At 44.8% G+C, this 25,291-nt stretch overlaps 1 protein-coding gene across 1 annotated transcript, besides 4 other annotated features; it reads right to left on the bottom strand.

Annotated features, from left to right (window-relative positions):
- On the bottom strand, positions 557-25,288 carry CHST7 (carbohydrate sulfotransferase 7). Its single transcript, NM_019886.4, has 2 exons — positions 23,630-25,288; positions 557-1,293 (listed from the first exon to the last, which is right to left on the bottom strand). Exon 1 carries the CDS (start codon positions 25,119-25,121, stop codon positions 23,661-23,663), a length of 1,461 nt encoding a protein of 486 aa, NP_063939.2. The 5' UTR covers positions 25,122-25,288; the 3' UTR covers positions 557-1,293; positions 23,630-23,660.
- Positions 10,237-10,840: an enhancer, noted in NCBI's record as "OCT4-NANOG-H3K27ac hESC enhancer chrX:46447648-46448251 (GRCh37/hg19 assembly coordinates)". NCBI's record gives its function as "activates a minimal SCP1, AML or CMV promoter by ChIP-STARR-seq in naive and primed H9 embryonic stem cells {active_cell/tissue: H9 hESC(naive and primed)}" and the evidence as "EXISTENCE:reporter gene assay evidence [ECO:0000049][PMID:30033119]".
- Positions 10,841-11,445: an enhancer, noted in NCBI's record as "NANOG-H3K27ac hESC enhancer chrX:46447043-46447647 (GRCh37/hg19 assembly coordinates)". NCBI's record gives its function as "activates a minimal SCP1, AML or CMV promoter by ChIP-STARR-seq in naive and primed H9 embryonic stem cells {active_cell/tissue: H9 hESC(naive and primed)}" and the evidence as "EXISTENCE:reporter gene assay evidence [ECO:0000049][PMID:30033119]".
- Positions 24,041-24,100: a silencer, noted in NCBI's record as "silent region_20791". NCBI's record gives its function as "represses an Ori minimal core promoter by ATAC-STARR-seq in GM12878 lymphoblastoid cells {active_cell/tissue: GM12878}" and the evidence as "EXISTENCE:reporter gene assay evidence [ECO:0000049][PMID:35858748]".
- Positions 24,221-24,270: a silencer, noted in NCBI's record as "silent region_20790". NCBI's record gives its function as "represses an Ori minimal core promoter by ATAC-STARR-seq in GM12878 lymphoblastoid cells {active_cell/tissue: GM12878}" and the evidence as "EXISTENCE:reporter gene assay evidence [ECO:0000049][PMID:35858748]".

The raw sequence follows: 25,291 nt of genomic DNA, 5'->3' as shown, positions 1-25,291 counted from the left end.
GCTCACACCTGTAATCCCAGCATTTTGGGAGGCCAAGGCCAAGGTGGGTGGATCACCTGAGGTCAAGAGTTCAGGACCAGCCAGGCCAACATGGTGAAACCCCGTCTCTACTAAAAATACAAAAATTAGCCAGGCATGGTGGCATGCACCTGTAGTCGCAGCTACTCAGGAGGCTGAGGCAGGAGAATCACTTGAACCCAGGAAGTGGAAGTTGTTGCAGTGAGCCAAGATCGTGCCACTGCACTCCAGCCTGGGTGACAGAGCGAGACTCTGTCTCAAAAAACACAAGATGTAAAAATCACAGCAACAGATTTTTGAGACTTTCTAAAATGTGCATTAGGGTTAAAAGATGATAGATATACTTTAGCCTCTGCCTGTGACTCCTCCTTGCCTGTAACCATCTTTAACAGGCTTTGAATGTAGAACCCTGAAAAAGGCATCACCAACTGTTGGCAACATCAGCTAGTAAGACTGAAGCAAGTGGATTTGACATTGCAGCTTAATGCTTAAGTTCTTCTTTTACCGGATAATTGCTGAAATTCTTAAACCCAATATACAGTTTCTTCCACAGTCTTCATATTCCTTTGTATGTAGGCTAGCTTTTACCCAAACCATGCAATTGAACTGCATCCAAACAAAACAAATCCTGTCATTAACATGACTCCAGAGTCATTTAATAGTATGATTACAAAAACGCCAGACAGAAAAATTTTAAAGTAAAAGTGTGTTTCAGTTCATTAGGGTTTTCCCAGCCCAGGGAGAAAAATTACTTCTTTTTAAAAATCAGTTCTGGGTAGAGGGAGACGGAGCTATTTGAAGGACAGCTGGATGAGTCAGGTTAAAAACAATACTGCCCAGACCTATTATTATTTAATAATATTATTAAGTAATTTAATCAAGACAGGACTGCACTTGGCCCTTATTCACATTGATGTTTTCGTCCAGACACCTGCTGGTGTGAAATGGTACCAAATCACATCTCTTCTTTGTTGTGAGGATGCCTTGTTGAAATGGCTCCAGCAGTGGCAGGTTCAGCCTGGGAACTAAAGCTCTTCCTATTTTACAGCCATAAATATCCACATTGCACTGTCACTTCCTTACTGGAAACTTCATCTCAACCAATGCGTCCGTCATTATTGAACAGCTCATGATATTCCTGCTCAGCAGAATTGCACAGCAGTTGTTGGTAGCAAGTCAAGTCCCAGACTCTGAGAGTGTGACAGATTGCCCCCACAGCGCTGCTTCTCCAGTGCTGGGGCAGCATGCCGAGTGCCCCTGTTCGTGGTGACTGACCTAGAAGGGAAGGAACAAAGGACGTCTGAACTTCAGAACACAGAAATCCCCAGAAAGAAAGTCTGTTGGACCCTGATGACATAAGGCCTTTTAAATCAGAAACCTATAATCTTCCAAACCCATACCGAATCAGTATCAACCATTTCTGGCTTGTGAAGACAGACCAGGAGAAAATGACCCAAGAGGTGTTGGGTGAGGGTGAAGATGGGAAAACTCCGGGGGCGCCTCTGTTAGCATGGCTGCGCTTTCTGCAGCTGCTGTTGTGGAGCGCCTGCTGAGGAGAACAGGGCTTTCTGGGACCTTCTGGGTAGTGTGTAGGAGGAACTGGGATTGAAACCGTACCTTTAGGCACCAACCACGTACCCATCCATTCTTCACTTATGTACCAGTTCATATGTGCAAAACGCCAACAGCAACTGACGATTCTATAAAACTGAGGCTGTAGATAGGCAGTGAGTCCAGCTTTCTATCTTTGTGGCACCTGAACTTTTTTCTTCTTTCATTTAAACACATTGCTTGTGTCACTCTATGTGAGCAGTGGAAAGTGGGCTGACTCTAGTGTGTCTGAACTAGTCCTGTCACCAGTTTCTTGCTCTCCTGTGATCCTTCCTCTGATCCTGGATGTGTACCAAATTTGACATTTTCTAATGGAGTGAAACTGTCCATCAGCTTAATAGAACCACTGATGCAAAGTTTGGGAAAGGCAGTTTCAAGATGATTTAAAATGTGCAATAAAGATTCACACTAAGCATTAAGGAAAAGCTAATTTCAGAAATGCTTTGAGGCCTTTCTATAATTTTTTTTTTTTTTTTTGAGACAGAGTCTCACTCTGTTGCCCAGGCTGGAGTACAGTGGCATGATCTAAGCTCACTGCAGCCTCCACCTCCTGAGTTCCAGCAATTCTCCTGCCTCAGCCTCCTGAGTAGCTGTGACTACAGGTGTGCAGCACCACACCTGGCTAATTTTTTGTATTTTTAGTAGAGACGGGGTTTCACCGTGTTGGCCAGGCTGGTCTCGAACTCCTGACCTCAAGTGATCCACCCATCTTGGCCTCCCAAAGTGCTAGGATTACTGGCATGAGCCACTGTGCCCAACCCCTTTCTATAAATCTTTAGTATTTTGCTAGTACACATGTTTCATGAAAGGGCTATATAAGCAAAGTGACCCCCAAATGCAGAAGGGGCTGAGAAACCAAAGAAGGAGGCAGATAAGTCCAGCTTGTCATCACAGGGTGATTTTATCGGGGAACTTATGGACAGAAGTATGGTCTTGAGCAGCTGCAAGGCAGATAGATCTCCACACCATTACCCCCCACCCCCAGACCCAGGGATTATAAACCACAGGAAAAGGTACACGTGTTTCAGAGGGAATGAGTAGGAGTTTGATCTAAGGGCAGGATTTATGGTAAGGATGTGCTCTTAACACAAGGAACAATAGATGAACTGGAAATCTCAGAGGCATTCCTGGAACCAGGGTTAATCACAAGTCAACATAGTGGATTAGCATCCAAGATGGAGTTACTTTAGCCTCCACAACAGGTTACTTACATAAAGAGCCACCATGTCAAATTTCAGTCTTTAATAAAAACCAATTTCCAGGTGGGCCGACTTTTTTTTTTTTTTTTGACAGAGTCTAGCTCTGTCACCCAGGCTGGAGTGCAGTGCAATGATCTCGGCTCACTGCAATCTCTGCCTCCTGGGTTCAAGCGATTCTCGTGCCTCAGCCTCCCGAGTAGCTGGGATTACAGGCGTGCACCACCACGCCCAGCTAATTTGTGTATTTTTAGTAGAGACAGGGTTTCACCATGTTGGCCAGGCTGGTATCGAACTCCTCACCCCAGGTGATCAGCCCGCCTCAGCCTCCCAAAGTGCTAGGATTACAGATGTGAGCCACCGCGCCCAGCCAGATGGGCTGACTTCTAGTTGACAAGATGGAATAGATGCACTTCTTATTCCTCCCACAAAGTATAACTAAAAACTCCGAATATTATGTATAAAACAAAGATAAGAGTCTGAAGGGTGGAGAGAAGAAGGCCAACTGACTAGGAACCTTGGCAACTGAGGAATACTATGACCCTGAGTTTTCTTTTTGCTGCCTCTATATCCTGAATGTTGTGTGCTAAAGAAGCCAGCAAGCCAGAAATGCCAACTGTGACAGACACACACAAAAAAGCCCTGAAAAAAGCCTGTTACCTCTAGCCAAAGGACAGGAAAGGTTCACTCTAAAAAAGACAGAAACCAAGCACCACAATTAAAAAAAAAAATCCCCTCTCCTGTGAGCAAAGCCCTAGTGGGAAGCCAGGATCTCTGGACTGCCACCTTGACCTGGCAGTAACCAGGTGATGTGCCCCTTTCTCCACCAGTGTGGTGTCAGTGGAGGCCTGCTAAAAAAGAAGATTTAAATAAGATTTGGAGATTCATAAGATAATTCTTCCAGTGTCCAGGACAATAAAAAGAGCACTTGTCAAACCAAGAACCAGGGAAATTTCAGCTTGAATGAGAAAAGACAACTGATACATACCAACACTGAGATGACACAGATGTTGAAATTATCTGAAACAGATTTTAAGTGGCAATCATAAACATCCTCAATTAGCCATTACAAACACACTTGAAGCAAATAAAAAAATTGAAATTCTCAGCGAATAATTTTTTAAAAAGCAACCAAATAGAAATTTTAGAACTGTAAAATACAATAACAAAAATTTGAAAAACTCACTGGATGGGCTCAATAGCAGAATAGAGATGATAGAGTAAGGACTTAGTGAATCTAAAAATAGAACAATAGAAATTATCAAATCTGAACAACAGAAAATAGAGTTAAAAAAAGATAAACAGAGCCTCAGGGGCCTGTGGAACCATAATAAATGATCTATCATGCATGTCATCAAAGTTCCAGAAAAAGAGACTGAAAAAGTACTTGAAATATGGCTGAAAGTTTCCCAAATTTGGCAGAAGACATAAATTTACAGATTCAAGAACTTGAGCAAACCCCAAAGAAGAAAAGCTCAAAGAAATCTACACCAAGCCATGGCATAGTCAAACTTCAGCAAAGTAAAGACAAAAAAATCCTGAAGGCAACTAGAGAGAAATGACACATTAATTATGGGAACAACAATATGAATGCCAACGGATTTTGTATCTGAAAGCATGGGGGTCAGAAGGAGGTGACACGACAGTTTTCAAGTGCTGAAAGAAAATATCTGCCAATCCAGATTTTTCTTTTTTTTTTTTTTTGGACAGAGTCTCACTGTCACCCAGGCTGGAGTGCAGTGGCGTGATCTTGGCTCACTGCAACCTCCGCCTCCTGGGTTCAGATGATTCTCATTCCTTGGTCTTCCAAGTAGCTGGATTACAGGTGCCCGTCACCACACCCAGCTAATTTTTGTATTTTTAGTAGAGATGGGGTTTCGCCACGTTGGCCAGGCTGGTCTTGAACTCCTGACCTCAAGTGATCCACCTGCCTTGGCCTCCCAAAGTGCTGGGATCACAGGAGTGAGCCACAGTGCCCAGCCTCGATCCAGATTTCTATATCCCATGATAATATCCTTCAGGAATGAAGGTGAAATAAAGACATTTTCACATGAAAGAAAACTAAGATAATTTTTGCCAACAGAACTTTTATAAAAGAACTGCTAAAGTTCTTCCCCAGAGAAAGGAAATGACAAAAGGAGGCTTGAAATATCACAAATGAAGAAAGAACAACGGAAAGGTAAAATATGAGTAAATTTAATAAACTATTCTCTTGAGTTTTTAAAATTATTTTTGATGGTTGAGGCAAAGTAACATTGTATGATGTGGTTCTCAATATATGTAGAGAAAATTTTTAAGAGACTATTTAAGGGGCAGGATAAAGGAACCTAAATGGAGATTAGTTTTCTACATTTCATTGGAGGTAGTAAGATGTTGACACCAGTAGGCTGTGATAAGTTACACATGTATAATTCAAGGAAACCACTAAAATAAACATACAAAGAGATACCCTCAAAAACACTACAGATAAAATGAAATTCTAAAAAATGTTGAAGTAACTCAAAGGAAGACAGGAAAAGGAAAACAAAGGAATAAAAACAGAGGGAACAAACAAATCAAATTGAAGTCCTAAAATATCAATAATTAGATTAAGTATAAATGGTTTAAATACATAAACTAAAAGAGATTGGCAAAATGGATTTAAAAACATTACCATTAATTTCTAATATAATGAGATGGGCTGAAAGTAAAAGGCTGAAAAGGATACACCATACAAACATTAATCAAAAGAAAGGAAGAGTAGCTATATTAATATTAGATAAAATAGACTTCAGAGCAAAGAAAATTACCAGGGACAAAGAAGAATGTTACATAAGGTTTAAAAGGTCAATCCAAAAACAAGTTATAGCAATCCTAAATATGTACAGAGCAAATAGCAGAGCTTCAAATTTCCTGAGGCAAAAACTGAAAGAACAGAAAGAAGAAATGGACGAGTCTATAGTTGAAAACTTCAACACCATTCTTTCAACAAATGATGGACTCACTAGACAGAGAGTCAGTAAGGATACAGAAGGACTGAACAGTACCATCAACCAACAGAATTGAACTGACATTTATAGAACATTCCACCTATTAACAGAATACACATTATTTTTAGGTATACATGGAACATTCACAACATGAACCTATCCTGGTCCACAAAACAAATCTGAACAAATGTTTAAAAATTGAAATAATAATAATAAATTAAATAACCATAGTGTAATCAAACTAGAAGTCAATAACAGAAAGATAGCAGGAAATTATCCAGAAATTTTAAAATTAAAGAACATACTTAAATATAATTCATTGAAAATAAAACTATATTGAATGAAAATGCAACATCAAAATTTGTGAAGCTAAGAGGAAAATGTGTAACACTAGATACATACATGAGAAAAAAAGATCTCAAATCAATAATCTATGTACTTACCTCAAGAAACTAGATGATTAAAAAAACCCAAAACAAGCAGAAGTAAGGAAATAATTAAGATAAAAGGAGAAATCAGTAAAACTGAAAACAAAAACAATCAAAATACAATGAAACAAAAAGCTGGTACTTTGAAAAGATCAAAAAACCTCTATCAGCCAGGTACAGTGGCTCATGCCTGTAATCCCAGCACTTTGGAAGGCCAAGGCGGGTGGATCACTTGAGGCCAGGAGTTCGAGACCAGCCTGGCCAACATGGCAAAACCCTGTCTCTACAAAAAATACAAAAATTAGCCGGGTGTGGTGACGAGCACTTGTAGTCCCAGCTACTCAGGAGGCTGAGGCAGGAGAATTGCTCGAACCCAGAAGGCGGGTGAGCTGAGATTGCATCACTGTACTCCAGCCTGGGCAATGGGAGTGAGACCCTGTCTCAAAACAAAACAAAACAAAAAACAAAAACAAACAAAAACAGAAAACAAACAAAAAACTTCTATCAAGACTGACAACAGAAAAAGAGAAGACAAACATTACCAGTATCAGCAATGAAACAGGGGTTTTCATTACAGACACCACAGACATTAAAAGGCAAAAGAAAAAAAAATTACTAAAAACAACTCTACATCCATTAATTTGACAATTTAGATGAAATGGACCAATTCCTCAAAAAGCACAAACTACTATAACTCACCCAATATGAAATAGATAATTTGAAAAGTCCTGTAACTACTAAAAAATTGAATTAATAGTTAAAAGGCTCTTGAAAAAGAAATCTCATTCACGTCCTTTGCTGGGACATGGATGAAGCTGGAAACCATCATCCTCAGCAAACTAACACAGGAACAGAAAACCAAACAGCAAATGTTCTCACTCATAAGTGGGAGCTGAACAATGAGAACAGATGGACATAGGGAGGGGAACGTCACATACTGGGGCCTGTCAGGGGGTGTGGGGCAATGGGAGGGAGAGCATTAGGACAAATATCTAATGCACGCGGGGCTTAAAACCTAGATGATGGCTTGATAGGTGCAGCAAACCACCATGGCACATGTATACCTATGTAACAAACCTGCATGTTCAGCACATATATCCCAGAACTTAAAGTAAAATAAAATAAAAAAGAGATTTTTTTTAAAAAAAGAAATCTCGGCCAGGCGCGGTGGCTCACGCCTGTAATCTCAGCACTTTGGGAGGCTGAGGCGGGCAGATCACTTGAGGTTAGGAGTTCCAGACCAGCCTGGCCAACATGGTGAAACCCTGTTTCTACTAAAAATACAAAAACTAGCTGGGTGTGATGGCGCACCCCTGTAATCCCAGCTACTGGGGAGGCTGAGGCAGGAGAATCGCTTGAACCCAGGAGGCAGCGGTTGCAGCGAGCCGAGATCGCACCACTGCACTCCAACCTGCGCGACAGAGTGAGACTCCATCTGAAAAAAATAAAATAAAAATAAAATGAAATATAGTGACAATACCAAATACTGTGAAGATGTAGAAAAATTTGATCTTTCAGACATTGTTGGTGGGAATGTAGAAGGGTACAGCTGCTCTCAGCAACAGTTTGGTAGTTTCTTATAAAACTAAACAGACACTTCCACACGATCCAGCAATTGCATTTCTGGACATTCATCCTAAAGAAATGAAAACTTATGTCCACACAAAAACCCATACACAAATATTCATAGTAGCTTTATTTGTAATAGCCAAAAACTGAAAACAATCCAAATGTCCTTCAGTGAGTGAATGGTTAAACAAACTGGTACAACCATACCATGAAATATTACTCAGCAATGAAAAAGAACAAACTATTATTAAACAAGACAACCTGGATGAATCTCCAGAGGATTACAACTGAGTGAAAAATGCCAATCTCAAAAGGTTACATATTATGTAATTCCATTATATAACATTATTGAAATAACACAATTATAGAGATGGAGAACAGATTAGTGTTTGCCAGTGAAAGGGGTGGGATAGGGTAGGGTATGTAATGATAATGAGGGTAGCACAAGAGAGTTTTTTTGTGTTGATGGACTAGCTTTGTGTCTTGATTGTAGTGGTGTTTACACAAATCTATATGTAATAAAATTACACAGATCTATACACACACACAAAATGAGTACACGTAAAAACTGCTGAAAATGGAATAAGGTCTGTTGTTAGATCTCACCAGTGTCAATTTCCTGGTGTTGATATTGATCTACATATAAGGTGTTCCTTTGGGGGAAGCTATTTGAAGGGTACACTGGACCTCTTGTACTGTTTTTGCAACTTCCTGTGAGTATATTATTTCTGCAGTGGCGTGATCATAGCTCACTGCAACCTCAAATTCCTGGGCTCAAGTAATCCTCCCACCTCAGCCTCCTGAGTAGCTAAGACTACAGGCACACCCAGCTAATTTTTTATTTTTTTGTAGAGACGGGATGCCCTTATGTTGCCTAGGCTGGTCTTGAATTCCTGGGCTCAAGTAATCCTCCCGCCTTGACTTCCCTAAGTGCTGGGATTAAAGGCATCAGCCACCACACTCGGCCTATATAATTATTTCAAAATAAAAAGTAAAAAAAAAAAAAATCTGTCATTGTTTCTTTGTGCAACATGTTGAGCTCTTCACTTGGGTGGCTTTAAAGACCGGAAACAAACTTGGCATTAACTCAGGATGGTTTTGTCAATGACTAACCAAGTGCTAAATGTTGCCAGGTCAGATCCCATTTCTCAACAAACTTTTATGGAGAGTACTACCAGCCCAACATCTGTACCCATAAGCACTCTTTTATATCCTTTTATTAAAAAATCTTTGTATCTACCCAAAAGGCTGCTTTTCATGCAGGTTCATATTTTTTATTGAATCGCTGGCAGTACAAGGTGAGGGAAGGAGAGATGTGTGCTCTGAAAGAACTATTGCTGGCTGCTGCTGGGGTATTTGAAGAACTTAAATGAAGTACCGCTAATTCAGGCAGGGCAACCTCACAAGGCCCTTTCTTTCTGCAATGGGTTCCTATTCCCCCGTGTTGGCCTCTAGTTCCTGAATGTCCCTGAACTATGTCAAGGATGCTTATATATCTTCCGGTTCTGACTTACACCTTCATGAGACCTGTAGCTCCCAAGTACACCCTAAGTAAACTATCAGCTAATTTCCTACCATTTCTCAATATTTTTGGTTGTGTTTAAAACATAAATGTGTCTATGAATTCTTACTGTGATGTTTCCTCAAACTCTTAAGTCCCCAGAATCTTAAATAGAGGATTAAGAATTTAATTCACTCTTTTTTTTTTTTTTGAGACAGAGTCTCTCTCTGTCGCCCAGGCTGGAGTGCAGGGGTGCGATCTTGGCTCACTGCAGCCTCTACCTCCTGGGTTCAAGCAATTCTCTGGCCTCAGCCTCCCGAGTAGTTGGGATTACAGGTGCCTGCCACCACACCTGGCTAATTTTTGTATTTTTAGCAGAGACGGGGTTTCACTATGTTGGCCAGGCTGGTCTCAAACTCTTGACCTCAGGTGATCTGCCCACCCTGGCCTCCCAAAGTGCTGGGAATTACAGGTGTGAGCACAAGGATTAAGAATTCAATTCACTCTTAATCCGGATCCCAACTCTTCTTAATATTATGGGGCCCTGTTCATAGGGAGCAATGAAATATTCATCTTTGGGTGCATATTTAGAACTCAAACCCTCAGTTTACCAGCCAGCTGCAGTTACCAAGTAGCTAGTTTTGTCCTTTTTTTCAGCTGCTAGATGTCTGACAAGGAAAAATTAAAATTTTAAGCTGCTAAACTTCTTGGTTACAACTGTTTCCACTTGCCCAGAATCTGGGGAGAATGAAAATGTTTGCTACTCTCTGTCTCACCTGAAACAATCATAGACCCTTCTGTTTATTCCTAAGTCAGAACTATTTAAAGACCTATCCTGTAATAATAGAAAATTCATAATAAAAAACTGTCTTCATGCAATTAATCTCAAGAATTATAAAGGTTTTTATATACCGTTGTTTTGAAAAGCACGCATAAAAGGTTTTTTGTAAAAAAAAAAAGTGACATTGAAATGTGAGGTCATTCCTCAATATTCAAATAATTCAAGAATTGGCTTTCACTTTAAAAAAAAAGCATGGTTATTTATTTAAAGATTGAAAGTCATATTTCAATGAGCTGGGTGTAATTTTATCTCCTTTGCTACAGTTCCCTTGAGTGTTTAAATGACCAGCCAGGCCCTAAATGCAGCTGGTTGACCTACTAATAGCCTCATTGCCATCAAAGGGAAACTTCATTCTGGGTTCATTCTGGGTCTATGGAGCCTGAATTGCAAGCACTTGGCTCGGCTGAGGCTCCTGGGGCTACAGCAGAATAACTCAGGAAGACGCGCTTTTAGCATTTTAATCATACTTTCTTCAATCTTTGAAGCCGGGATGGGGGAGGGGGATGAATCAACTTCCTGCTGGCTTTAAAGTTAGAGAACAGAAGATTCAAGCCAATGAACTTGCAACAGGCTCTGCCTCTCTCAGTGGCCTTCCTGTGCCCCCCATTTCAAGTCAGGTAATGAGCCTAGGGCCTCCCAAATGAATCTGGGAACTTGCACGGGGACCTCATTTCTACTCCTTGAATTATGTTTGTCAATTTGGGCCTGCTCCTCTTCAAGTTTTTCTTGGTCTTGCCTCCAAAACATACATGCCTGTGACTGGACTCAGTTATCCTGTCCCTGCCCACACACTTGCACCAGGTGAGGCACCCTGGATTGACCACCAAAACTACTTCACAGATGCTAAAAGTTGGTGCTGGCGCTTAGCACTTGAGAGAGCTGAGATTTCCGAGTATTCAGCAAGTCCTGTTACCACCAGCTGGATGACTTTCCAGCCTATTGTAACAGCCTTCCTCCTGGACCACCTCCAGAACAAATGGGCTGAGGAAGGGCTTGAGCGTCCTTTGCAACGGCTGTGTCCTTATGGGGTCTTCTCCCAGCATCCTAAACTGAAACCACACTTTGTGGATGATGTTAATATCTAAGCTTATCTGTTAACCCAGGTTAAGCTTTCTTAACCTTCCTGTTTTCACTTCAAATTAGCAACTACAGTGCCAAGGAAAACGGAAATGAGTGACAATGTTTACAACAATAGCACCATTAAGTTGTTTTTTAAGGGAGCTGCTTAGGGATAATGTTAAAATAATATTTGAAATAGCAGAAATCTCAAAGTACATTCCCTCATTGTGACTCCAAAGCAAAATGTAATAGGAAACATTTAGTTTGCTAATATAACTGCACCCCCAGATAGCCTGGAAACGTACTTTAAACAGCATTAAATGTTATTCATAATTTCCAGACATTTAATCTGAAAAATTATGTGGCAGTGGCACGGGGTGCTAGTTATTTATACTTGCACTAGTCAATAACAGTTTCAGTCATATTCAACTTGAAACAACTCTCCACTCAGGTTTAAAAAGAAATAGAGGCTGAGTCAAAACAAAACAAAAACAAAAAGACAAAACTCTGGACTGGGGAGTGAGGGGAGAAACTTGCCTGGACTTGGATGGCCCCAGTGGAGAGCTAAAGAGACACACACTCCCGCCGTCACCTCCCACCGTGGGAGGAATTCAATGTAAAATCTCAATCCACGTGAGTCATTCAAGCCCAGAGTCAGCCAGTACAAAAATTAAATGGGCATTATTTTTCCTCTTATTCTAGAATAGAATAAGATAATAACATCTCTCCAGTTTTATGATACCCACCCCAGCTAAAAATTTCCCAAACTTTTGAGCTCACTTGAGAACAAATGGATGCACACCAAACCAGTATTAATAAAACCTGGAGCCAGGCGTGGTGGCTCACGCCTGTAATCCCAGCATTTTGGGAGGCCGAGGCGGGTGGATCAGCTGAGGTCGGGAGTTTGAGACCAGCCTGACCAACATGGAGAAACCCCATCTCTATTAAAAACACAAAATTAGCTGGGTGTGGTGGTGCATGCCTATAATCCCAGCTACTCAGGAGGCTGAGGCAGGAGAATTGCTTGAACCTGGGAGGCGGAGGTTGTGGTGAACCGAGATCGTGCTATTGCACTCCAGCCTGGGCAACAAGAGTGAAACTCCATCTCAAAAAAAAACAAAAAAAAAAACTTGGAAACAGCTGAGTTTGCCTAGTTGACTTTTGTTTTTTCCTTTCATTGAGCTGCTCCAAGATATAAATTTAGTTTGCATACCTAATTGCTTTTGTGAGTAAAGTTGCTCCCAACTCCAATAAAGGAACTGACTCAGTATTTTATAATATATATTTGGACAAGCCACCTGCAGATGTTTGTGATCCACTAAGTGAGAGTGGAAGGGATTTGGGAGAGCACAGAGCTGGGAAGTGACCTGGAGCTTAGATCTGCAATTCAGGCTGCCATTGGTCCCCATAGGGGTTATCAGTCAAATGAGCAACTGAAGTTTCCCTACCCCCACACTGGGACTGCCCAGGAAGTCTCATTCTCTGCCCTTGATCAGCTTTAAGATTCCCAGGTTAGAATGGCTAGTCAGTGTACAGAATCTATGGACCAGCCAAACTCTAGCCAATCACTGCAGGTATCTCTCCCTGCAGAGTGAGGCAGTATGTTTGTTCCACCCTTTCCTAGCCTTTCTTGTCCATGGTCTTGTGGGAGTAAAGTGGCTCCGTGGCCTAGAGCAGGTTCGTGTTGGCATAGGACATTGGATCGTGGAGGCCAGTCTACAGGATTGCTGGAGGTGGCCGCACTAAGGATCAAGACATGGGTTTTTCCTGAGCTCAGATGATTTCTCTTCCCCTTTGACTGTTGAAAAATAAAAATGGCTGGGTGTGGTGACTCACCCCTCTAATCCCAGCACTTTGGGAGGCCGAGGCAGGCGGATCACTTGTCAGGAGGTTGAGACCAGCCTGGCCAACATGGGGAAACCCTGTCTCTACTGAAAATACAAAAAAATTAGCCAGGCGTGGTGGCAGGTGCCTGTAGTCCCAGATACTCTGGAGGCCGAAGCACGAGAATCGCTCGAACTCAGGAGGCACAGGTTGCATTGAGCCGATATCGCGTCACTGCACTCCAGCCTGGGCAACAGAGCAAGACTCCGTCTCAAAAATAGATAAATACATACATAAATAAATATGAAGTAAAATTATTTTAAAAGGCATTCAATAATGTTAGGAATTTTGTTATTCTTTGCGAGGGATGTGTACGTTTTTGGCCAATCATCTCCTTTTTGCAAAATTGCCCTCTGTAATTCCTAGCAGCTAGAAAATGGGAGGGTGGGCCAGGTGTGGTGGGTCACCCCTGTAATCCCAGCACTTTGGGAAGCCAAGGTGGGTGGATCACCTGAGGTCAGTAATTCGAGACCAGCCTGGCCAATGTGGTGAAACCACATCTCTATTAAAAATATAAATATTAGCCGGGCGTGGTGGCGCATGCCTGTAGTCCCAGCTACTCTGGAGGCTGAGGGACAAGAATTGCTTAAACCCGGGAGGCGGAGGTTGCAGTGAGCCCAGATCATGCCACTGCACTCCAGCCTGGGCAACAGAATAAGACTGTCTCAAAAAAAAAAAAAAGAAAAGAAAAGAAAAAAAGAAAGAAAGGAAAAGAAAAAAAAGAGAAAGTGGGAGGGTGCAGAAAAACAACAAAGAGGAACTTTTTTGTTATGTGCAGACCCTGAAAAATGTGTTTTTTTCCTTTATTATATCCATGTTAGTGATATTCTTTATTATAGCAAGAGACAGATCTACTTCTCTTACTTCTAAAATCTGTGTATTTAACATATGCCAGTTCTTGGCTGGTCGCCAGTTGGTCCTATTTTTAAAATATTATGTTGATTTTAGCATTTTTGGCTTACTGTTCCTATAATTTCTCTGAGGCAGTAAAGAGTCCTTTTTGAGAAAATATGGTCTCAATCATGGGAAAAGTGACCTCAAAGCTCTGGTACAATTTTTCCTAATGTCTACCTTATCTGTCTGGATGTAATGACTTCTTCAATTAGCCTCTGAGTTCCCTCCTAAAGCTGCTCATAGCTTTCCTCACTTCATCATCTTTACTGAAGAACTCACAGTCTTGATCACGGCTGCACTCCCCATGCCTTACAAAGCTTTCTGTGATGTTCTATTTCAGGGCAGAATTACACACTTCAGCCCTTCAGTTAGGTTGGCTTCCTGGTTTCCAACCTGCTGGATACCATGAACCAGTGATATTAAAATCAAACAAGCACTCGCTCTAGGCATTTGGATTTCAGGCCAGACTTCAGGCTTCTTACTGGCCTACTGGCCCAGAGAGTACCCTGCATCTATCTTCAGGGCACCTTTTTTTTTTTTTTTTTTTGAGACAGTTTCACTGTTGTTGCCCAGACTGGAGTGCAATGGTGCGATCTCGGCTCACCACAATCTCCGCCTCCCGGGTTTAAGTGATTCTCCTGCCTCAGCCTCCCGAGTAGCTGGGATTATAGGCATGTGCCACCACGCCTGGCTAATTTTATATTTTTAGTAGAGGCGGGGTTTCTCCATGTTGGTCAGGCTGGTCTTGAACTCCCAACCTCGGGTGATCTGCCTGCCTTGGCTTCCCAAAGTGCTGGGATTACAGGTGTGAGCCACCGCACCCGGCCAAGGCACCTTTTAACATTCTAGAAAGGGCTTCGATTCTGTAAGCAAAACGTGTCTACCTCAGTGGCTATTTTCAGAATGTGACTCTACAGCAAAGTTCTTCCTGCTCCCATCCATTTCATGGGAGGGGAATCTGCTGGCACAGAATATAGTCATCATTGAAATCAAATGTGGTGGCCCTCTTTCACAGCCTCTTAATCTCCGAATTTAAAAATATTCACCATCAGAAGAACTGGAAGTCATTACGTTAAGTGAAATAAGCCAGGCACAGAAAGACAAATATTGCATGTTCTCACTCAGATGTGAGCTAAAAAAGTTGATCCCATGGAGGTAGAGAATAGAATGGTGGTCACCAGAAGCTGCAAAGGGTGTGGGGGTTGTCGTGGAGACAGATTGGTTAAATGGGTATGAACACACAGTTAGATAGAAGAAGTAAGTTCTAAGTTCAATAGCAGAGTACGGTGACTACAGTTAACAACAATGTATGGTGTATTTCAAAATAGCCAGGAGAGAGGACTTGAAATCTTCCCAACACATCAAAATTATAAACACTCGAGGTGATGGGCACCCCAATACCGACTTGATCATTACACACTGTGCATGTAACGAAAAAATCACATGCACTCCATAAACATGTACAAATATGTATTCATAACAAATTTTTAAAAATATTCATCATCAGCTGATGCTCTAATTTATTCTCAGCATCCAGCAGGGTGGTCTTAATTATGAACAGGGTCAGCTGCAGAAAATGTCAGACCTGGCCACTGGCTTGGTGCCAGGGTGCCAAGCGGGCCGGGGAGCAAAGCTGAAGGACTCCAATTATAGACACATCACTGAGCTCCGCAATTTTCTATTTTCTCCAATTAAAACTGCTTCCTATTCAATTCCCAAACAGTTCCCACTTGCCTGTGGACTTGAATTTGAGCCAGAGCTGTTTCTTAATCCCTACTATTCTTATTTTATACTGCACCTCAGCAGAAATGTCCTTTTCAATAGAGCAAGTTCCTTTTATTTCCACTATGAAGCAAGAGGCTGAGGAGCCAGGAGACCTCACAAAGAGAGGGGTTCATTTATTAGTCACCTTGTTCAACTGGAACGTCAGACACAAAAAAGTGAGGCCAGTTTAGTTTTTTTTGTTTCATTCTTTTCTGGCCTGCTCATGCTGAGGGCAGGCTGAGACAAAGCATACTGAAGAATGTTAAACCAGCTGTTTGTAAATGTTTTTCAAAAGCTTCACTCCCAACTATTTATATTACATTCATATTCATGGGAAGAAAATCTCTGCCAAGACAAAAAAAAAAAAAAACCTCTTAGAAAACCGTCTGAATCCTGCCTCAAAAACTGCAAATGGGCACTTCTGCCCTTCCCCTGCTGAGACCACAAAGAGGGCTCTCAGGAACATAGAGAAAATGTATGAATGGTTAAACCTTATTTAAAATCAGCCTAATTTCCCCAGTGATAGGGTCCCCAAATTGTTTATGCTCGAGTCAGTAAGTACAATCCCCTGCAACAGTACCAGAAGAAGGCCGCCTGAACAAGAACCTTGCTAAAACCTGATGTCCTGTCGAAGTGTGATTTTCTAAAGGGATAATTTTTATACCAAAATGTATCCATTTCTTCAAAATAATCACAAAAATAACACTCTCTAAATACATGTGGACTGTAGAAGGGCTAAGAAGTTGATTTCATTTTGGCATTCCAGTGACTACAACCCAAAGTATGAGGCCATCATTCATCATCAGAGATGAACTGTAGGGTCAGAGAGAGCCAGGATGCCAGCAGCAAGAATTTTCCATTCATCAAACTGGCCAAGATGAAAAAATGAAATCAAATCTATGTTGTTGAAAGTCTGGGAAACAGACGTTCCAAGAAATTGCTGGTGGTAGTGAATGTTGGACGACTTTGAAGAACATTACCTCTCAAAATGTACAAAGCATATACCTTTTGCTATATAAGGTCACTCTGCTATAGGAATTTTTCTGACAGACATACTCACATGTATGCAAATACAAGGACCCTACTAGAAATGCAATGAAATAGAGCACAAAACTATAACAACTAAATGCCCTACAGTATGGAACTAGGAGCTAGTTAAATATGTTATAATACATTCCTACCATGAAATACAATATAGCTATTAAAAAGAAGATGAAACGGGAAGATTTTCAAAGCAATAAGTGAAAAAAGTGCAGAACAATAAATAGAGTTCAATCCCATTTGTGTATAAAAAGGCTATATTTTTCTGCCGGAATTTGCGTAAAACATTTCTAGACATATACTACAAGAAATATTGTGGCTGCTTCTAGGAAGTGAGACTGGCAGGTATTTTATAAACTTCTATCCTGTTAAATTCTATTTTTGACCGGGCGCAGTGACTCACGCCTGTAATCCTAGCACTTTGGGAGGCTGAGGCGGGCAGATCACCTGAGGTCAGGAGTTCGAGACCAGCCTGACCAACATGGAGAAACCCTGTCTCTACTAAAAATACAAAATTAGCTGGGTGTGGTGGCGCATGCCTGTAATCCCAGCTACTCAGGAGGCTGAGGCAGGAGAATTGCTTGAACCCAGATGGTGTAGGTTGAGGTGAGCCGAGATCGTGCCATTGCACTCCAGCCTGGGCAACAAGAGCGAAACTCCGCCTCAAAAAAAAATTTCTATTTTTACCACATGCTTATGTTATTTCTACAATTTTTTTTTCTGAGACAGAGTCTCGCTCTGTCGCCCAGGCTAGAGTGCAGTGGCGCGATCTCAGCTCACTGCAACCTCTGCCTCCCTGGTTCAAGCAATTCTCGTGCCTCAGCCTCCTGAGTAGCTGAGATTACAGGCACGCGCCACCATGCCCGGCTAATTTTTGTATTTTTAGTAGAGACAGGGTTTCACCATGTTGGTCAGGCTGGTCTCGAACTCCTGACCTTGTGGTCCACCTGCCTCGGCCTACCAAAGTGCTGGGATTACAGGCATGAGCCACTGCACCTGGCCCTTATTTAATTATTATTATTATTATTTTTTTTTTTTTTTTGGAGACAGAGTCTGGCTCTATCACCCAGGCTGGAGTGCAATGGTGCAATCTCAGCTCACTTCAACCTTTGCCTCCAGGGTTCAAGTGATTCTTCTGCCTCAGCCTCCCGCGTAGCTGGGACTACAGGTGCCCGCCACCATGCCCAGCTAATTTTTGTATTTTTAGTAGAGATGGGGTTTCACTATGTTGGTCAGGCTGATCTCGAACTCCTGACCTCAAGTGATCCGCCCGCCTCAGCTTCCCAAAGTGCTGAGATTACAGGCATGGGCCACTACGCCTGGCCCAGAAATCCTTTTAATTTGACTTCCTCTTCTTATTGGTAAGAACACTAAAGCTGAAAAGGTTTAGGGACTTGCCAAAGGTCAATTAAGTAGTAACCAGGAGAGGCAGGCCCTGATGCCTGGGTTCCCATGCCGTAATTCAAAAACTGACTTCATATAGAAAGCAAGGAATGACTGTTACTACTTTATGTCCACCCCTTGCTTTGTAGGACCAGCCTCCTTCCCTGTTCACTCATCAGACTTGACAAGTCTTGACTTTTCCTTAACACCGTATCCATCAGCTGAGGGGTCCTGCCAGGGAAGGCAGGCCCAAATGGGAGCTCCGAGTGCCTTGATCAAAGGTAGCATTAACCTCACAAGGAGCAATAATGATTTGGACATGGATGTATTTTTAAAAATTGTTCACACCTCATTGCAGCCCTGCTACTCAGGTACCTATCCATGTGCACACACACATGCGCACACACACACCATCCTAACTTCCAGCTCTCTGGCTCAAACCTAGCACCCAGGTTGATATGCTATTAGGAGTCTGAAGATAATTTTGTTGAATGAGAAATTCTATATAGGAGCAATGTTTCAAAAATGTCCATTCTGGGCTGGGCACGGTAGCTCACGCCTGTAATCCCAGCGCTTTGGGAGGCCGAGGCGGGTGGATCACGAGGTCAAGAGATCAAGACCATCCTGGCCAACATGGTGAAACCCCGTCTTTACTAAAAATACAAAAAAATTAGCTGGGCATGGTGGCACACACCTGTAGTCCCAGCTACTGGGGAGGCTGAGGCAGGAGAATTGCTTGAACCTGGGAGGCAGAGGTTGCAGTGAGCCGAGATCGCACCACTGCACTCCAGCTTGGCAACAGAGCAAGACTCCATCTCAAAAAAAAAAAAAAAAAATGCCCATTCTTTAGCAGTCTGTGTGTAAGCAACAGCTTCACTTTTCAGTGATATTTATTTATCTTTTGAGACAGGGTCTCTCTCTATCATCCAGACTAGAGCGCAGTGGCGTGATCACAGCTCATTGCAGCCTCGACTTCTTGGGCTCAAGCGATCCTCCTACCTCACCCTCTCAAGTAGCTGGGACTACAGATGCGCGCCACTACCCTCAGCTAGTTTAAAAAAAAATTGTAAAGATGGTGGGGGTTGTCTCACTATGTTGCCTAAGCTGGTCTTGAACTCCTGACCTCAAGCGATCTTCCTGCCTCAGCCTCCCAAAGTGCTGGGATTATAGGTGTGAGCTACTGCACCCGGCCTCAGTGATATTTATACATAAGCCTATATAAAATGTTTGTGGCCCAGTTTCCTGATTAAAATAGATTTTCAAAATGATTTGGTGGTGGTTGATCATTTCTTTTCCTGTTTACATGATTTCTTTAGAAAGAAAGCTTCCTGATTGTTAGGGTTCAAATTACAGGGTGTTTGCCTTCTTTCCTAATTTCTTTCAAAGGATGCATATGTCATGTCAAGAGCAAAGATCAAGGTGCCTTAAATGCCTAGCGGGATGAAACTTTGGGACCTACCAAGGGCAGACATTAAAGGGAGACATGCTGAAAAGGACAGGATAGCACATCAGTCTGTCCAGAACAGTGGTGGATAGTGTACAATGATGGATTATTAGATAATTAGATAATGAGCTACAGACAACAAAGCATGTGAAGGCATGTGAGAGGGTGATAAATGGACCCATGTATAATTGAGGACATTTTCCCCTTTCCATAATAACACTCTACATCTGCTTGGCACTTCATAGCTCCAAGTTCTTTCACATAAATTACTGTGGCAAGCAGTTCAGTGCTCATCAACAGCCCTTTATTCCCCATCCTGATCTTGTTCCGGTGGCAGCCTTCTGGTCCCATCTGGCCCAGGGGATGAACCATGACTGGTCTGAGCCAGAGGTTCTCAGCTTTGGCTATACAGTAGGATCATCTGGGGAGCTTTTCAAACATCCCAGTGCCTGAGTCTGGGGACTCCACTCCAGACTACTTAAATCAGAATCTCTGGGGGTGGAGCTCAGGCATTGGCATTAAAAAAATAAATAAAAAAGCTCCTCATGTAAATGTAATGTTCAGCCAGGGCTGAGAACCGCTGGTCTAAGCCAATCACAATGCTCCCATTCCCTTTCACCAATGATTGGGCTAGGGCAGGCTGTATAACCCAGTTTTAGCTAATGAGACATAAAGGGACGTCGGCTGGTAAAGGGGGTTCTGGGAAAGGTGTTATAATTTATTAAGGCTGGGTGCAGTGATTCACATCCATAATCCCAGCACTTTGAGAGGCCGAGGCAGGCAGATAGCTTGAGCTCAGGAGTACGAGACTAACCTGGGCAACACAGTGAGAGCCCCCACTCCCCGCCCATCCCCAATCTTTGCAAAAAAAAAATTTCTTTTAATGAGATTGAGTGGTGGTGTGCACCTGTAGTCCCAGCTACTTGGGAGGCTGAGGTGGGAGGATTGCTTAACCCTGGGAAGTTGAGGCTGCAGTGAGCCATGACATTGCACTCCAGCCTGGGTGAAAGATTGGATGTGGTGGTACGCACCTGTGGGCCCAGATGCTTGGGAGGCTGAGGTGGGAGGATCACTTGAGCCTGGGAGGAGGAAATTGCAGTGAGCCAAGATTACACCACTGTACTCCAGCCTGGGTGACAGAGTAAGAGCTGCCACTCAAAAAAAAAAAAAAAAAAAAAAAAGAGCATGGCAGGAGGAAAAACCCCTCCACCCCTTACTGGCTAGATAGCTTCCTTCCTTTCTGTATTTTAATAACCCTGTGTCGTTGTGTGAAGATGTTTTGCTTGGAGCTGTGGCTACCATCTTGTTACAGTGGGAAGATAAGCCAGTGAATGAAAGCCAAGATGTAAAAGATAGAAAGGGCCTAGGTCCTTGGTGACTTGGTTCAGGGTGCTACGGCCCCTACCCAGACCAGAAAAAACTTCACTGACTCCCTCACTGCCAAATCCTGGCCATTGGGTATGGACCATCCAGAAGTTACTCAGGTTAATTCACATGTGGCCTCTCTCCTCAGTTGAGCTGAGGGCACCCTGAGATGCCCTGTGGGGAGGATGGCTGTAAAGTTGTCGGCTTTCCTGTGTAGGCACTGTCGGCAGCTCAGGGATATTTTATTTGTTCAGTGGTTGGGACATATTAGTAATAAAGCTGAGTGTGTTTTCCACCTCATACTAGCCTAGCTGGAGTATCAGGGTGCTGCCAGGGAATGCCAAGGCAGGGGCCAGGTGAGGTATAAAAGAGAGGATTATGAGCTCTGGAGTCTAACACCAAACACTGTTCCACCCTCACCAGCCCAGGTATGACTTTGGGCAAATTACTTCTCTGAGTCTCGGATTCCTCATCTGGAAAACTGGTATAAATAATGATATATGTACAATGCCTAACTCAGTGCATGACACATAGCCCTTCAGTAAGGATCCCTCCCCCTCTCTTCTCCTCCCTTCTCTAGAATAGAGTGTGACAAACTTTTGGAAAACCCATCAGTGAGTCGGCAGTAACGTTATCTTCCTAGGAACCAAGAATACAAGCACTGTAATCAACCCACTGATTGGTGGTAAGTGCCCAATGCGGGAGGAAGGACTCAGTCACTAAAGTCTGGAAGAGCCTAAAGCTTGCTCCCAGATGTCCCTGCAGCCCTGCAAAGGAAGCCCCATCGGCCTTCCAAACAGCAACACCAGTGTCTTCCCTCACAGTCACTGTCACCCACACAGACTCTAACCTCCTAGAGGGCAAAGACTGTCCTCTACCCTCCTCTCTATTCTCTTTAATGCTTCACCCCAGCCAGTACTCAAATAGATGTTAGTAAAAATGAAAAAAAAAAAAAAAAAAAAGCAAAAGTTTCTGGGAGATTGTCATGTCTTAAAGCCATAAAATGCACAGCATTCCGCCCAGGGGAGGAGTTCCCTCAGGCCTGTGAAGAAGGGTTAGGGACAATTACTGTTATATCTGTAAATACAGGATCAGCAGATGAAAGGATGTTTTTGTTAAGATGTGACAAGTCACCCTGTGCCTTACCTTCCATCACTCTGGAAATCAGGAAAGAACACAGACTTCCTAGCAATTTCAGAAACTGACTAAGAAAACCATTTGATTACTGGGAGAAAAATTAGTTAGCCAGCTTCTGAAATCACTCTGAAACCCTGGTTCTGTAACAACAACAAAATCCCTCTTCATTAATATCTTCAACGTTTGTCCTCAGAGCTTCATCTCAGGGGAATGCTGAATTACACTATAAAATAATGAATGGAAACTTAACTCACTTCCGCCCACCCAGCACTACTTTTCCTCCTCCTCTGGACTGACTGCACAGTGCAGAAGGCGGCACCCTTCCAACTCACATAAAGTTTGGGGAAACACACTCCCATGTCACTAAGTAGACTCCTATGGTCAGCACTGTGCAGAACAAACCCTTCCCTCAGGCCATACACTGACCCACACAGAACACATTTTGAGACTGTTTAAGCCCCACTTTAGCATCTTCAGATATACAGAAAAAAACAAAAAACAAAAATGGAAAAACAAAAAAGAGGGGGCAGTGTCTTTTCACAAAGCTCCTCCTGCAGTCACAAACTGCTACTGCCAATTGAAGGCTCCATCTGTCAAACGGATGGGGTGGAGTGGGGGACACCCAACCCTGAGGTCTTGTCGACACTAGAGGAAGCTGACCAGGCAGCTTTTGTGACCTGATGTGAATGGGATATGGTCAAATATCCTGCAAACGCCAGCTACAGGGAGAAGGGGGAAGGGAGAGGAGGAGGGGAAGGGGGAGGAAGAGGAAGAGAGGGAGAGGGGAAATGAGAGAGGGAAGGAGGGGGAGGGGAGACAGAGAGGCGCACATGAGCCAGGGGAAAGCAAGTCTATTCACTACACAAGCGCCTGAGACACACAATGTGCAAGAAGTGTTGCAAGAGCCGCTGGACTGTGCCTGCATGTTTGGAAATTCAGGAGAAAAGCCCTGGAGCCTGCGCATAAAACAGACAGAGAAGAAACATGAAACAGAAAGATTAGGGATAGGTAGGGTTAGAATCAATGCCTTTCCACCAAACTCTCTGCTTTTGGCTTTCTCTGTGCCTGTAAACACCATTGCAAAGTCTCCTCACAGGACAAACTGGCATCAAGATAACTCCATAATCATCAACCTCAAATGGTTTCCGAAATCCTATACTCCACATGTCAATTCCCAGTCTCACGGCTCATTATGACTGTTTCAAACCTTCTCTACTCTCCTCAGCCCTCTGAAACCTCCTACTTCATACAGGGGAATGGGAATGCAGAGACCTGGCTTCCACCTCAGTCACGCCTAAATATCCTCTCTCATCTCAGGATCTCCCTCTAAGGAGGCGCGAGGCTAAGCTGGAGATTCCGATGAATCTACCAAATTCTACGAGCAGGACTTTCCCATCCTCTTGGACCTGATCTGATAGAATGGGATCCAGCATGGTACCCTCCCCCCTACACTTCCCCCTCCCCAGGCCATTCCAGGCTCCCGGAAGACCAGTCCCGGTCCCTGCCTTGCCCCGGGCCACCTTACCCGGATCCGTGCCGGGGACAGGGATGGGAGGCTACGTGGCGCCGTCGGCATCCATCTCCAGCGGCGTCTCCCCTTCCCTGGGCTGCTCCGCGTCGCCCTCCTCTCCGCTGCGAGGGTAGGCGAGCAGACGCATGGCTGGAGCGCAGGCGGCCTCCACCTGGCGCACCTGCTCTCGGCTCAGGCGCTCGCGCCAGGCGTGCACCGCCTCCCGGGCGTCGCGCGCTGACAGGTGGAAGGGCCGGTCGGCGCCGTAGGCCGCGCCGCGAGTCATGTTGAGCGCGAAGGCATCGAGCGCTGCGAGCGCGCGTAGCCCGGAGAAGCGCAGCAGGCGGCGCAGCTGGGCGCGTGGCTGCCGCACCAGGTCCTCATAGCGCAGCCTCAGGTAGCGGCGCCGCAGCCAGGCGGGCGCGCCGCGCGCGAAAAGCAGATCGCGCAGCCAGGCTTCGCAGATCACCTCGAGCGCACCGGTCAGGAAGAAATCGGCGCGCGGCGCGGCGGGCAGCGCGCGAGACTGGCCCCCGGGGCGAGCACCCACGCCGTGCGCCAGCAGCACACGGTGGAAGCGGTCGCCCCTCTGGCGGGTGCGCAGCACCTGGATGCTCTCGCGCAGCAGTCCCTGCCTAGACTTGAGGCGCGAGTTGTGCACCGCCCTCGGGTCGCGGAAAAGCTGCACCACCTTCAGGTTGAGGCCTGGATCACGCAACAGGGGCACCAGCACGCCCAGATCGAGCAGGCGCACGTCCTTGATGACCACCACCGGGTACTTTCGGCACTCGGCCTCCAGGGCGCGTATCGCCACGGGTGGGCAGCTGCGCTCGCAGGCGGTGTCCTCGACGAGGCCCACCTCGGCCCGGGCACGGGGTGCGCCAGGACACAGTGGCGGCGAGCAGATGACCTTGTTAGTCCGCCAGCGGAAGAGGGCGGCCGTGGTAAGATTGGCCGTGTCCGGGGCGCGCGCAGCGGGGTCCCCCGGCGGCGCGTACAGCCGCAGCACGGAGAAGTCGCAGCGGAAGAGCGAACGCAGCATGTCGCGCAGCGCGCCCTGCAAGCTCTCGGCGTCGCCCGGATACAGCGCCTGCCATAGATGCCACATGGGCTCATACAAGTAGAAAACGTCCGGGTGCTGGTTAAAGAGTTCGCCCAGGAAGGACGAGCCGGTGCGCCAGGTGGCATGCACGTAGATGTGCTGCTTCTCGCGAGACACTGCCTCCCCGACAGCGCCGCTGAGGTTGCTTGGGAACCGAGGAGACTGGTTCGCGCCCCCTTCCTCGGCGGCCCGCGCCTCCGCTCCCTGCTCGCGTTCGCCGGCCGCCGCCGCCTCCAGGCTCCACACTCCCAGGCTGCGCTGCAGGCCGGGGCAGTGCTCGGCGCCCTTGTCCCCGTCGCGGCCGCCGTCCAATACGGAGGGGACGAGCAACAGCACCAGCGTGTACAGCACCAACAGCAGCGCGAACTTGCAGTACTCTCGGCGTCGCCGCCGCCGGCCCTTCATCGTTCACCGACCCTCCAGAGCGGGTCGGGCGCCAGTCTTCTCCCGTTCCTCAGAAATCCCGTGCCAGGTCCGCTCCTGTGGCCTCTCCCGGCCCCTCTGCGCCGGGAGGAGCAGAGCCGCGGGGCCGCGCATCCACAAGGGGAAACTTGGAAGGCGGTGGTGCTACTGAC

This window comes from Homo sapiens, chromosome X (genome assembly GCF_000001405.40).
Source record: "Homo sapiens chromosome X, GRCh38.p14 Primary Assembly".
NCBI classification, from domain to species: Eukaryota; Metazoa; Chordata; class Mammalia; order Primates; family Hominidae; genus Homo; species Homo sapiens.
Note: the sequence above shows the minus strand (reverse complement) of the source record. Positions and strands in the feature narration are given on the sequence as shown.

Excerpts from the sequence above, each read along its gene's own strand:
- CHST7 (NM_019886.4), bottom strand. The coding sequence starts at position 25,121 with ATGAAGGGCCGGCGGCGGCGACGCCGAGAGTACTGCAAGTTCGCGCTG.